This window comes from Homo sapiens, chromosome 19 (assembly GCF_000001405.40).
Source record: "Homo sapiens chromosome 19, GRCh38.p14 Primary Assembly".
NCBI lineage: Eukaryota > Metazoa > Chordata > Mammalia > Primates > Hominidae > Homo > Homo sapiens.
The window spans coordinates 2771048-2784639 of NC_000019.10; the positions used below are offsets into that span (position 1 = coordinate 2771048).

Genomic DNA, 13592 nt, shown 5'->3' on the forward strand with positions numbered 1-13592 from the left:
ATTGTGGCTGCTGTCAGGGGTCGGGGAAAAAATAACCCGGAAGCTGTCAGCCCAGCGCTTGGCGCCCTGCGATATCTGTTGTTAATATCACGATTCTGCCAGGCGTGGTGGCTCACGCCTGTAATCCCAGCACTTTGGGAGGCCGAGGCAGGCAGATCACGAGGTCAGGAGACAGAGACCATCCTGGCCAAACACGGTGAAACCCCATCTCTACTAAAAATACAAAAATTAGCTGGCATGGTGGCACGTGCCTGTAATCCCAGCTACTCGGGAGGCTGAGGCAGGAGAATCACTTGAACCAGGGAGTTGGAGGTTGCAGTGAGCTGAGATCACACCACTGCACTCCAGCCTGGCAACAGAGTGAGACTCCATGTCAAAAAAAAAAAATCATGATTCCTCGTGGTGAGTCTCGTGGCATAGACCTCGGTTGGCTGTTTTTGGCAGTGTGACCTAGGGGAAGCGACTTAACTCTGCTGAGCCTCAGTTTCCTCTTCTGTCCCCCATGGATGGCGACAGCACCTCCCCATCGGGGGGGGGGGGAGGGGTACGAGACCAGGCGTGCACAACGCTGAGTGAACACCCCCACACAGGCAGGTACGTGGACGGGTGCTGGTGCACCCTCCGTGTCCAGATCAACACATGCTGAGGCTATTCCAGAAACGCTGCCCGGCTGTGCAGTTTCACTGGGAGCATTTGGAGAACCTGCTCTGAGGCCAGAAGCAGGCATGGAGAGGGGTTGCTGTGGTGCTGGCGCATGGAGGGGCAGCCCTTGGGGAGGCCCTGGCCGTGGGATGGGACCCCCATCCTCTGTTCTTGCGATGAGGTTCCCTTGGCTGGGCCTCCCTTCTCCACCTGCTCCTTCCGGGCTGGGCTGGGCAGCCGCCTTCCCTGGAATCCACTCCCTGTCCAGGGCCTCTGGTGTCTCTGAGCAGCTGGGTCTTCCCCATCTCTGTCCCTCACTGGCTGACATACAGGGTGGCGGGGCTGTGTGTCACCGGCCTTCCTCCGGGGCCGGGCCCAGCCCGTGCATAGTGGACCTTATTCTTAGTTGCACTCTGTGTGCCAAGACGCATGAGGCAAGGGGCAGGCCTGAGGCCTCAGGAGCTGGGGAACCACCGTGAGGAGAAGCACAGGTTTGAGATCAGACGCTCGGATTCAGGCTGGGTCAGACAGGGCCTGGCCAAGAGGCCGCCAGCCTCGGGATGGACGAGGAAGGGCGAGGCCTGAAGGAATCTTCTACAGTGACAGCTGCCTCTGGATAATTTCTTATTCTTCTCTGCTCTGTGCCCAGATCTGCTCTCCAAGAAGTGACTAAAGCCACAAACACCTACAAGGAAACTCTGACCCAGCACCCAGGAGGCCACGGCTCCTCCTTCTGAGCCAGCACAGTGCAAGGGGTCTCTGCCGCCAGGTCCCACTCCCCAGCTGGGCCCCAGGGACCCTCTGCGCGCAGCCACGCTGACAGGCGGCTCCAGGGGCTGAATACTGTCGTGTGCTGAACTGTGTCCCCCAAATCCATACACTGAAGTCCTAACTGCCAGGACCTTGGAATGCGACCTCACCTGGAAATAAGATCTTGGCGGACAGAATTTGGTAAGATGACATCATACCAGTGTACGGCGGGTCCCTAGAGCAATAACCAATGTCCTTATAAAAAGGGGACATTTGGATGCAGACGCATGCACAGGGAGAACACTGTGTGGATGTGAAGGCAGAAATGGGTGACGCGGCCACACGGCAGGGACACCGAGGGCAGAGATGGGTGACGCGGCCACAGGGCAGGGACACCGAGGGCAGAGGTGGGTGACGCGGCCACAGGGCAGGGACACCGAGGGCAGAAATGGGTGACGCGGCCACAGGGCAGGGACACCGAGGGCAGAGGTGGGTGACGCGGCCACACGGCAGGGACACCGAGGGCAGAGGTGGGTGACGCAGCCACACGGCAGGGACTCCGAGGGCAGAGGTGGGTGACGCGGCCACACGGCAGGGACACCGAGGGCAGAGATGGGTGACGCGGCCACACGGCAGGGACACCGAGGGCAGAGGTGGGTGACGCGGCCACACGGCAGGGACACCGAGGGCAGAGGTGGGTGACGCGGCCACACGGCAGGGACTCCGAGGGCAGAGGTGGGTGACGCGGCCACACGGCAGGGACACCGAGGGCAGAGATGGGTGACGCGGCCACACGGCAGGGACACCGAGGGCAGAGATGGGTGACGCGGCCACAGGGCAGGGACACCGAGGGCAGAGATGGGTGACGCGGCCACACGGCGGGGACACCGAGGGCAGAGGTGGGTGACGCGGCCACACGGCAGGGACACCGAGGGCAGAGGTGGGTGACGCGGCCACACGGCAGGGACTCCGAGGGCAGAGGTGGGTGACGCGGCCACACGGCAGGGACACCGAGGGCAGAGATGGGTGACGCGGCCACACGGCAGGGACACCGAGGGCAGAGGTGGGTGACGCGGCCACAGGGCAGGGACACCGAGGGCAGAGGTGGGTGACGCGGCCACACGGCAGGGACACCGAGGGCAGAGGTGGGTGACACGGCCACACGGCAGGGACTCCGAGGGCAGAGATGGGTGACGCGGCCACAGGGCAGGGACACCGAGGGCAGAGATGGGTGACGCGGCCACACGGCAGGGACACCGAGGGCAGAGATGGGTGACGCGGCCACACGGCGGGGACACCGAGGGCAGAGGTGGGTGACGCGGCCACACGGCGGGGACACCGAGGGCAGAGGTGGGTGACGCGGCCACACGGCAGGGACACCGAGGGCAGAGGTGGGTGACGCGGCCACACGGCAGGGACACCGAGGGCAGAGGTGGGTGACACGGCCACACGGCAGGGACTCCGAGGGCAGAGATGGGTGACGCGGCCACACGGCAGGGACTCCGAGGGCAGAGATGGGTGACGCGGCCACAGGGCAGGGACACCGAGGGCAGAGATGGGTGACGCGGCCACACGGCAGGGACACCAGATTGCCCTCACGTCCTCACAAGGAACGAGCCCCGACAGAACCTTGATCATGGACTTCCGGCCTCCAGGACTGAGAGACGATGAACTCTGTTTCAGCTGCCTGGTCTATGGCACTCTGTCACCGCGGCCCCAGCAAACCGACACTAACACCTGGCAAGCAGGCATCTCAGGACGCACCTCAGTCCTCGTGACGACTCCAACAAGCGGGTCGGCCCTGTCTCCAGCTGAACTGAGCCAGGTTGGGCAGGGACGCGTGGTCGCATGCCCAGGATCACATAGACAGGAGAACAAACGGGCTGTCATCACACGGAAGGGAGCAGTGAAGGGCGGTGGCCGAGGGACACGGAGGGAGGGAGCAGCTGCGCGTTGCTCACTGTGCTGCGGTCCCAGGAGCCAGCTGCCCGAGGGGCAGCTTCTTTTATAAGAAAACGACACTTCCTATCACGTCTATGCAAATGTCCATTTTAACTTTAAGTGCACAGATGTCTAATGGCCCGAGACACGTAGGTTAACACCCGTGCACGCGTACACAGAGGCCTTCACCTACAACCATCCCCGTGTAGACAGCATCAGAGGCAGGGCACCAAAAGCATTAAAACCATGCAGATGACCTACCTGAGCACTTCGCAGACCTAGAACGTCAACTATGTAAAATACCTGCCCATGAACATTGGCAAACTCCTGGCCTCAAGCAATCCTCCCACCCTGGCCTCCCAAAGCGCTGGGATCACAGGTGTGAGCCACCATACCCGGCCTCCTCCAGGAGGCAAATGCTGAGGAAAGCCGTGGATTCTACTGACCCACTGGATTTTGCTGAAGCTGTGTGCGCGCGCATGTGTGTGTGTGCGTGCATGTCTCTCCAGATTCTGTCTCTCTCCCAGACCAGCGGTTCTCGATGGATGTGCTGAGACACTTGGTGTTGTCTCACATGGAGTGGGGGGAGGCCAGGGACGCTGCTCAGTGCCCTGGAGTGCCCAGGACGGCTCCATCCCAGAGGATGATCCGGCCTCAACATCCACAGCTCCCACTGGGAGAAAGCTGGACTAGAAGAGGAGGACCTGAAGAGCCTGTGGGTGCACCAGGCCCTTGACACAACACCGTCTCATGACCTCGGCGCAGTGACCTATGCGGCAGGACTGGGGATGGAGGTGTTCACTCAAGGCCACTGGAGCCACAGGCACGGCAGGATCCGCGCCCGGCAGGCGCCTGACCTGCCCCCACACTCAAGATCAGAGGCGTTCAGTGTCTTGGTTCCCCTAAAATGCCTCTACATGAGGTGAACAGCCACCACCCCCTAGAAAATGAGGCGTGGGCTGCCTGACCGCATAACCCACCCCGCGCCAGAGACAAGCAAGGCATTGGCCCGCCACGCTTTAAACAGTGGCTGACGTCAGACTCAGATGACACCGGCGACGTGGACCTCCACGCCACTAAACAAGCATAGTCCCAGACACACTGGGTGTGCCCACAGCTTTGTTTCCCTTTCAGGGAAAGCAACATCCATCAGCAATCATTAAAAAACAAAACAAAACAGAGAGCAAAAGAGCCAGACCCAAAGCACACACAGGGTGTGACACCGACTCCATTTCTATGAAATGTCCAGGACAGGCCCATCCAGAGACAGGAAGGAGACGCGTGGGTGCCGGGGCTTGGGGAGGGGAAGGGGAGTGACAGCTGGTGGGGACCAGCTTCCTTGCTCCCTTTTGGGGCGATGAGACAGCTCTGGAACCAGAGAGTGGTGATGGTTGCACAACCCTGTGAAGGCACCAAATGCCACTGAATTTCACGGTGTGGGGATCACAGCGGTGTGGGAATCACAGCTCAATGTTTTAAAGGGGGAGAAATCTACAAGAGCTGTGTTTTGTGTCGCTGGACAGGGAGTTACGGTCTTCCTGAAAGCTCCTGCGGGATGGTAATGAGTTTTCCGCCCCCATCTCAGGACACAATGGACAGCCCAGAACTTTGAGGTCTGGGATCAGGACTGCCTAGAGCCGGCGGGCAGCCAGTCCCAGAATCCAAAGATCTCATGTACGACACATCAGGGCCCACGGCAGTCAACCACCACCAGAAAGTGAAACCACAAAAGCTGACGTCATCCGCCCCGGCCAACAGGGTTCAGAGAGCAAACCAGTCAGGTCTCCTGACCCCCAAGCCCAAGGAAAACAGACACATGCCACCCGAAAGGTGAAGATTTTTGGTTTACGGAGTTTCTTTTGTTTTATTTTTAAGCACGTTTTGACAACAGCATTACAATAGCCAAAAGCAAACAGCCCAAGTGTCCACGGACAGGTGAGTGGATCAACACAATGTGGCCTAGCCACACGACGGAACGCTACGCAGCCATGAAAAGGAAATCCTGACCAGGCTACAACATGGGCGGACCTTGAGGACGTCGCACTCAGTGAAATAAGCCAGAAACAAAGGTACAAAACCTGTGTGACTCCCCTCCTAGGCGGTCCCTAGAGTCGTTGGATTCACAGAGACCAAAAGTGGAATTGGGGGTGCCAGGGGCTGGGGAGTGAATGTTTCATGGGGACAGAATTTCAGCCTGGGGAGATGAGAAACTTCTGGAGATGATGGTGGCGATGGCTACATAGCTGTGTGAATGTGCTTAAAGCCACTGAACTGTGCATTTATAACTGATTAAGATGGTAATTTTTGGCCTGGCATGGTGGCTCACGCCTGTAATCCCAGAACTTTTGGAGGCAGAGGCAGGTGGATCACCTGAGGTCAGGAGTTTGAGACCAACATGGTGAAACCCCATCTCTACTAAAAATGCAAACAAAATTAGCCAATCATGGTGGCGCACACCTGTAGTCCCAGCTACTCAGGAGGCTGAGGCGGGAGAATCGCTTGAACCCGGGAGGTGGAGGCTGCAGTGAGCTGCGATAGAGCCACTGCACTCCAGCCTGGGTGGCAGAGCAAAACTCCGTCTCAAAAAAAAAAGAAAGACTGGTCGGGCACAGTGGCTCATGCCTGTAATCCCAACACTTTGGGAAGCCGAGGCAGGCGGATCACCTGACATCAGGAGTTCGAGACCAGCCTGACCAACAGGTGAAACCCAGTGTACAAAAAATAGCCGGTCGTAGTGGTGCGCGCCTGTAATCCCAGCTACTTGGGAGGCTGAGGCAGGAGAATCACTTGAACTCGGGAGGTGGAGGTTGCCGTGAGCCAAGATCGCACTACTGTACTCCAGCCTGGGCAATAAGAGCAAAACTCCATCTCAGAAAAAAAAAAAAAGACCAGGCGCAGTGGCTCACACCTGTGATCCCAGCAGCACTTCGGGAGGCCAAAGCGGGGGGATCACTTGAGCATAGGAATTCAAGAGCAGCCTGGGCAACATAGGGAGACCCCATCTCTGCAAAACATTAAAAAATTAGCTGGGTGTGGTGGCACACATCTATAGCCCTAGCTGCTTGAGGGGCTGAGGCAGGAGGATCGCTTGAGCCCAGGAGGTCCGTGCTGCAGTGAGCTGTGATCACACCAATGCACTCCAGCCTGGGAAAGAGAGTGAGACCCTGCCTCAAGAAAAGAGTTTCTCTTCAAAGTCTGGGGTCTTTGAGATGAGGGTCACACCCAACCAGGTGTCTTTAGCTGAGAATGGTGCCGACATCTCTTCAGAGGTTTCATTGGAAATGATTCTGTAACAGGCGGCATCAGGTCAGGATCCCCAGGCAGACACACCTCACTTGGTGACCTCAGATTTGGAAGAGGCAACAGCAAGCAGCAGAAACAAGACCTGGGCCAGGAGCGGTGGCTCAGGCCTATAATCCCAGCACTTTGGGAGGCTGAAGTGGTCTGGAGTTCCTGACCAGCCTGGCTTCTACTAAAAATACAAAAATTAGCCGGGTGTGGTGGCGGGTGCCTGTAATCCCAGCTACTCGGGAGGCTGAGGCAGGAGAGTTGCTTGAACCTGGGAGGTGGAGACTGCACTGAGCTGAGATCGCACCACTGCACGCCAGTCTGGGTGACAAAGCAAGACGTCATCTCAAAAAAAAAAAAAAAAAAAGAAATCAGACCTGGCTGAGTCCCCGCATAAACCTAGAAGGCGGGGGTCACAGCCCCCTCTTACAGAGGGAGTGACAGGCCCAGACAGGTGGCACACGCAAGATCCTACCAGTGACAGCTGGAACTCGGCTTAGCATTCCAGGCACACAGGGCCTAGCACGATCCACGCTGAGGGGTGTGGGGGGCAGGGGTGTGTGTGTGGAGGGGGATGTGCGTTCCTTCGCAGGGAACTAACACAGAATAAACCAAGAAATCTCATCTTTGGTTCTTTGGTGTACCTGTTTCCTTCTCTCTTAAACTGAGGTGTGAGAACTGGACAGGGTGGCAGGTGGCTAGGGACCCAATGAGGGTTCAGAAAGTGGAAAGAGTTGCATTCACTGAGTCACACTCCTCTCTTCCAGTGCCGCCGGTGCCTCTGTACCCCAGGGCTTTTGCACGTGCTGCTTTCCCTCCTGGAACACCGCCCCCCCCGGCCCCCGCCGCCACATCCCAGAGAACCTCTTAGCCTCAGGGTCTCCACCCTACCCCATCCCTGTTACCCTGGGACAGAGCTGAGCAGAAGTGCCCCAGCTTAGACACCCTGGGCTAGGGGATGCCACGGATCCCCAAGAGACTCTGTGTCCCATGATCATTTGCTCTACTAAGGTCCCAGGAGGCTGCACACATTGAAATTCACAAACTATGGAGGATTGCTTGAGCCCAGGAGTTTGAGGCCAACTTGGGCAACAAAGTGAGGCCCTGTCTCTAACAAAACAAAACAAAACAAAAGATAAAATAAATCCACACACTAAGGGGAGAGGGAGCAAGGAGGTGAATCCTAGGAGCTGGGGACCCCCTGATTTCCACCCTCTGCCCAATCAGAAGTTTATTCTGCTGTCCAGTGTGAGCAGGAGCAAGCTCAATTTTTTTCCCAAATAATTAATGCAGGTCTGTCGCCTGTGGCACTGTGGGCATCTTGGGTGGATGATTCTGTCCTGCGCACGGCAGGGGGCTGAGCAGCACCCCTGGCTCCCCCCACTGCACACCAGAAACACTCTCCAGTTGAGACAACCACACATGTCCCCAGACACTGCCAAACCGCCCCCAGCTGTAAATCACTGATGGCCACTAAGTGGGAAGAAAGGCTGGAAGTCAGTACAGGTCAGCTTTTTCTGTCCAAAATGACTTTGCTGTGAGCTTTCTGAAAACCTTCTGCTTGTAGGCTATTCTGGGTTTCAGAACTGCGGGTCCACGGTGGAGGACTGCTCAACTAAGGGAAGCACAGGCCCTGCCCAGCATGTGACACAGGCCAGTGGTGCCAGGACCTGTGGCTTCTCTGCTGTCCCCAAGGTGGGGGACATCATCAAACGGTTCTCAAATCTGCTTCAACAGCCAGGCTTTCCCGTAAGAAAGTTTTCTGCTCTTCAGAGGGGGGTCCAGCAAGCATGAGGACGGCATTTTCCTCAACTGCCGTTTGGCACTCGGTGTCTTTGGAACAATCACAACTTGTAGGGTTTGGCTGTGGGACAGCATCTCAAAGAAGGCCTGCTGTGTCTCCCAACAGCGAGGGCTTTATGGATGCTCAGGAGCCATGGCCGAGGCCTGGTTTCAAGGCAGAGGCCGCAGAAGTGAGGGTGGGAGGGTGCTGGCCCATGGGGGTGGCGCCAGCTCCAATGTTGGGGGCTTCAGCGTCCCTTTCGGCTCTGAGCCGATGACTCCACATCCCACCTTTTCATTTTATCATTAAAATAAAAACAAAATCAAAACACAGCCACCTCGGTCGGGGCGGTGGCTCACACCTGTAATCCCAGCACTTTGGGAGGCCGAGGTGGGAGAATCGCTTGAGTCCAGGTGTTTAAGACCAGCTTGGGCAATACAGTGTATAGTGAGACCCTACAAAAGAGACTCTAAAAAAAAAAAATAGAATTAGCCTGATGTGGCGGCACACACTAGTAGTCCCAGCTACTTGGGAGGCTGAGGCGAGAGGATTGTTTAAGCCCAGGAGTTGGAGGCTGCAGTGAGCTGTGATTGGGCCCTGCACTCCAGCCTGGGTGACAAAGTGAGACCCTGTCTCTAAAAACAAACAAAAAACTCACAACCACCTCTCTTCCTTATTTCCCTGCCCAGAAGGGATCATTCAATGGAAAAAAATAGAACATCCTCGTAAACTGAGGTCGTCTTACCTCCTCACACCCCAGTAGGAAGGGCCCGCTCTTACCCACTACCTTCTGTGAACACTCTGCCCAACTCCATCCCAAATCCACGGTGCTTCTCACCAACAGCAGGGCAGGAGAGCCGGGTGCCCTGCTCCTCACTCCCTCTTAGGATACCCGAGTTCTAGCTCAGTCTCCTGCCCACTCCCCACATCGAAGCCTACTTCCTTCTAAAATGCCACCAGGAGATCGCTGCACACATAAAAGCTCTCAACTGCTCCTTGCAACCCCAGGAGTGTGCATAGGAGGCCTCTCACCAGCTGGGGGTCATCTGTGGGGCCTACACCAAACCCTGTACATGCCACTCAAACTCAAGTGCTCACCTCCCCTGCCCAACTCCGCCAGGAGAGAATCTAGTATTCCTGCAAACTCCTATCTCTGGCCCAGCATCTCTTACAAGGCTTTCTATCTCTTGACAGACCCATCTTCCCTTTGAACGCCAGCATCTGGCAGCGTCTAAACCCTATGGACTCAGGAAAGCCTGCGATTGTTGAAAAATTCACAGCCACATGGTCACGTTCCTTGGGGAGGCCATTTCTCTCTGGGTCTCTGTTTCCACCTCAGTAAAAGAGAAAACGGGCCAGGTGCAGTGGGGCACGCCTGTAATCACAGAACTCTGGAGGCCAAGGTGGAGGATCACTTGAACCCAGGAGTTTGAGACCAGCCTGGGCAACACAGTGAAACCCCATCTCTAAAACAAAATACAAAAATTAGCTGGGTGTAGTAGTGCATACCTGTAGTCCCAGCTACTCAGGAGGCTGAGGTGGGAGGGCCTGAGCCTGGGAGGTCGAGGCTGCAGTGAGCAGAGATTGTGCCACTGCACTCCAGCCTGGGCGACAGAGCAAGACCCTATCTCAAACCACCCCTTTGTTCCTTCAGCCTGTACTGAGCACTTCCTACCAGAGCCACTGTTGGGTCTTGGCATAAAAAAGAAAAAATGTAGAATTGAGTAAGACGACAGCTCTCAAGGATCCTCCAATCTGGGGCAGAGCTCACCCGCATTTGGAATCATTCACCCTTCTAGGAAGATTTAATTATAAACCTCAGCTCAAATCCTTGGCGTGCTTACAGCTTTCCAGGCACCCAGTTAAGTGCTGTACATGCGATAGCTTATTTTAGGGGTCAGCAAAGGTTTTTCTGAAAAGGGCCAGATTGTCTTCAGCTCTGCAGGCGTTAAGTTCCCTATGGCAACTGTTCAACTGTGCCTTCTTAGCTCGAAATCAACTACAGGTAACGCATAAACCAAGGAGTGTGGCTGTGTTCCTACAAACCTTCATTCACAAAAACAGGCCAGAGGTGGATTTGGCCTTCTGGTCAGTTTGCTGATACCTTGCCTGGTTTAATCCTCACACACCTGAGGTGGTTACTATTATAATCCCCATTCCACAGAAGAAAAACTGAGGCTTGGAAAGATGGGGACCACCCGAGACCACCCAGCTCCGAGGATGAAAATGAGGAGTTCTGAACCCAGGCAGTCTGACTTGAGAAGCTAAACTCCAAAGTACCCATTTCTCTCTGCACGAAATTGGGTGCACACACAAAACTTTGTACACGATTTCCCGGGCCCACACAGTCCCAGCTGCCCATGCTGGTGAAGAATCACTGATCTAGGGTAGATTTTTTTTTTTTATTTTTGACAGGGTCTCGCTCTGTCGCCCAGGCTGGAGTGCAGTGGCATGATGTTGGGTCACTGCAACCTCTGCCTCCTGGGTTCAAGGGATTCTCCTGCCTCAGCCTCCTGAGTAGCTGGGATTACAGGTGCACACCACCATGCCCAGCTAATTTTCATATTTTCAGTAGAGACGGGGTTTCACCACGTTGGCTAGGCTGGTCTTGAACTCCTGACCTCAGGTCATCAGCCCGTATGGTAGGGTTTTTAAAGCATTATTGACATTTAAAGCTGGATCATTTTCTGGGGTGAGGCCGTCCTGGGTACTGCAGGGTGCCGAGCAGCAACCCTGGCCTCCACCAACTCCAAACCAGGGGGTCCCCCAAATCATGACAAGCACAAATGTCACCAAGAATCCCTGGGGCACAGAATTGTTCCTGGTTGAGAACCACTGGTCAAGGGAGGGAAAAGGCAGACAAAAGGAATAATCAGAGACAGAAACAAAAGAAAATGGGACAATCATTCAACCTCTGAAGGGCACACTACACTGCAATTTTCTGGCACCTAATAACAAAAACAGCTATTCTCAAGCCAGCTCTCTCTTATCAAGTTCCAGGCACCTGATCAAATAATTGAATGTGGGTTTATCCTCATAATGACCCTCCGAGGCATCTGCTTTTACAACTCGTTTGCGAAAGAAGGAACAGTTTGCTCAGAGAGGGAAGGCGACTCACCCAGGTTTACACAGCGGGTGGGAGGTGGTGGTGGACGGTCCTGAATCCCAGATTTCCCCCACCTCTAGCACGATATGCAGAAGAAGACTCTAAACATGATATAAGACGAACGCCTGCTAATTCTTTGGAGTTCTCAGATTCCGCTGGACCCTGCGGCTCTCCTTCTCCTAGGCAGGGACTTTTGAACAACGCCCGTTTTACAGAGGGGAAAACTGAGGCTCCGAGAAGCCAAGAGGCTGGGCAAGGTCACCCAGGTAGGGACTGGCGGCGCTGGAACCAGAGTTCCGACTTCAGTCCCCACAAACGGGGGTCCCTGAGTCACAGGGACGACGTTTCCAGGCGGTTAATAAGAGCGGAACGGCAGCGAACACCCAGCGAGCGCTCACTACATGCGGGGCGCCTTCCCCTCCCGCCGTCCTCGCCACCAGGCCGCGGACCAGCATTTCCAGGACCTGGGGCCTGGGGAAGGGAGATCAGGGCTCGAAGGGCCTGCCCGATGGCGCCCGGCCTCAGTTTCCCCTCCGCACCGCCTACTCACAGGACCCCGCGGGTCGCGGTGACCCTGGCCTCACGATCCCCAAACTCTTACGAGCTTTGGGGCCCCGTGGGCCCCGAGCCGCAGACCCCAGACCCACCAGGCTCAGCGCAGTGCCCCTCACTCACCTCTCAGGCGACCGATCCCCGACCCACCGACGGTTGCGCTTGCGCACCGCGGTGCCGCCCGGCCCCGGCCCCAGGGCGCGACGCCTGCGCAAAAGAAAGGCGCCCGGAGTTGCTTCCCTTCTGCACAGGCGCGTTAATGATGGAGGCGGGCGTGGAAGGAAGTGACGCAACGTAGAGGCGGGAACCAGCTGGTTGTTAGGGCAACTGACCTCTGCGACCTAATGGAGGCCGGAAATCGGGTCTGGTTTGCCCTCTAGAGCGGGAATGAAGCGGTGCACGGTGGAACAGTGGCTGACTCCAGCCGGTCGCCGAGCTGACCACGTGGTGCTGGGCCGGCCACGTGGTGCAGCCGCGTTTGGACACCTGGACTCCAGAGCGTCACAGCTGCGCAATGAATGGGAGTCAGTGTTACCCGCTTACTATCTTTGTTCATTTATTCACCCACCCATCTACTCACCCACAAATGCATTCTTTCATGCAGTGTGAGACGTTTGTGAGTATAGAGCCATTTGTAGACAGCAGGTGCCTAATATTCATTCAATATTTATTGCAAAGCAGCCATAAAAACCAGCAAAGTGTCTACTCTCATTATTTTGCATTGGGGTAGACGGACTATAAACTAATAAACTAGTACATAAATAGAGAAACAAATTTCACAGCAAACACTAAGAAAAAAAAAATGAAGGTAGTGTGATTGTCACTGGGAGCTAAGTCGCATGGGATGGGTAGGAAAGATCATCCTTTACATTTGGATTTCAAGGATAGGAAAGTCCAAACGGACCCCAGGCACAGGGAACAGCGAAAATGAACGCCGATGTAAAATTAATCTTGGTGTTGCTCAAGACATGTGATGAGACATTTCCAAGGACGACAGAAAACTGATCACCATCTAAGTTACAGTTGCCAGAAATGTTCTCCCAATTCATTTTCGTCCTACTCAAAATACATGCACGATTAATGGCGTGGATTATTTTAATTTCTTTTGCAGAAATAAAGGAGGTGAGGCCGGCCGTGGTGGCTCACGCCTGTAATCCCAGCACTTTGGGAGGCCAGGGGGCAGATCACTTGATGTCAGGAGTTCGAGACCAGCCTGGCCAACACGGTGAAACCCTGTATCTACTAAAAATGCAAAAATTAGCCGGGCGTGGTGCGGGCATTTGTAGTCCCAGCTACTCGGGACGCTGAGACAGGAGAATCGCTTGAACCCGAGAGGCAGAGGTTGCAGCGAGCCGAGATCGCGCCATTGCACTCCAGCCTGGGCGACTGAGCGAGACTCCCTCCAGCCCCTCCAAAGCAAAAGAAAACAAAACAAAAACAAAAAAAGGGAAGAAAGGAGGTCGGTTGTTTTGGTTTTTGCCAGTTTAATTGTAGTACATTGTTTTTTCTGGGTGCCCTAACAGTTCAAGA

General features: G+C 55.6%; 1 protein-coding gene across 2 annotated transcripts in view, besides 3 other annotated features; it reads right to left on the reverse strand.

The window, feature by feature from the left end:
- Nucleotides 1-12226, reverse strand: part of SGTA (small glutamine rich tetratricopeptide repeat co-chaperone alpha) — a 28559-nt gene extending 16333 nt beyond the window's left edge. Inside the window, exons 1-2 of one of the 2 annotated variants that reach the window (XM_011528178.4) lie at nt 12186-12226; nt 11523-11700 (exon numbers count right to left, since the gene is read on the reverse strand). The gene's annotated coding sequence lies outside the window, so the exon portion shown is untranslated. The remainder of the gene's footprint in view (nt 1-11522; nt 11701-12185) is intronic. The other variant, NM_003021.4, reaches the window with a different exon arrangement.
- Nucleotides 10992-11091: an enhancer, noted in NCBI's record as "active region_13718". NCBI's record gives its function as "activates an Ori minimal core promoter by ATAC-STARR-seq in GM12878 lymphoblastoid cells {active_cell/tissue: GM12878}" and the evidence as "EXISTENCE:reporter gene assay evidence [ECO:0000049][PMID:35858748]".
- Nucleotides 12148-12197: a silencer, noted in NCBI's record as "silent region_9808". NCBI's record gives its function as "represses an Ori minimal core promoter by ATAC-STARR-seq in GM12878 lymphoblastoid cells {active_cell/tissue: GM12878}" and the evidence as "EXISTENCE:reporter gene assay evidence [ECO:0000049][PMID:35858748]".
- Nucleotides 12588-12657: an enhancer, noted in NCBI's record as "active region_13719". NCBI's record gives its function as "activates an Ori minimal core promoter by ATAC-STARR-seq in GM12878 lymphoblastoid cells {active_cell/tissue: GM12878}" and the evidence as "EXISTENCE:reporter gene assay evidence [ECO:0000049][PMID:35858748]".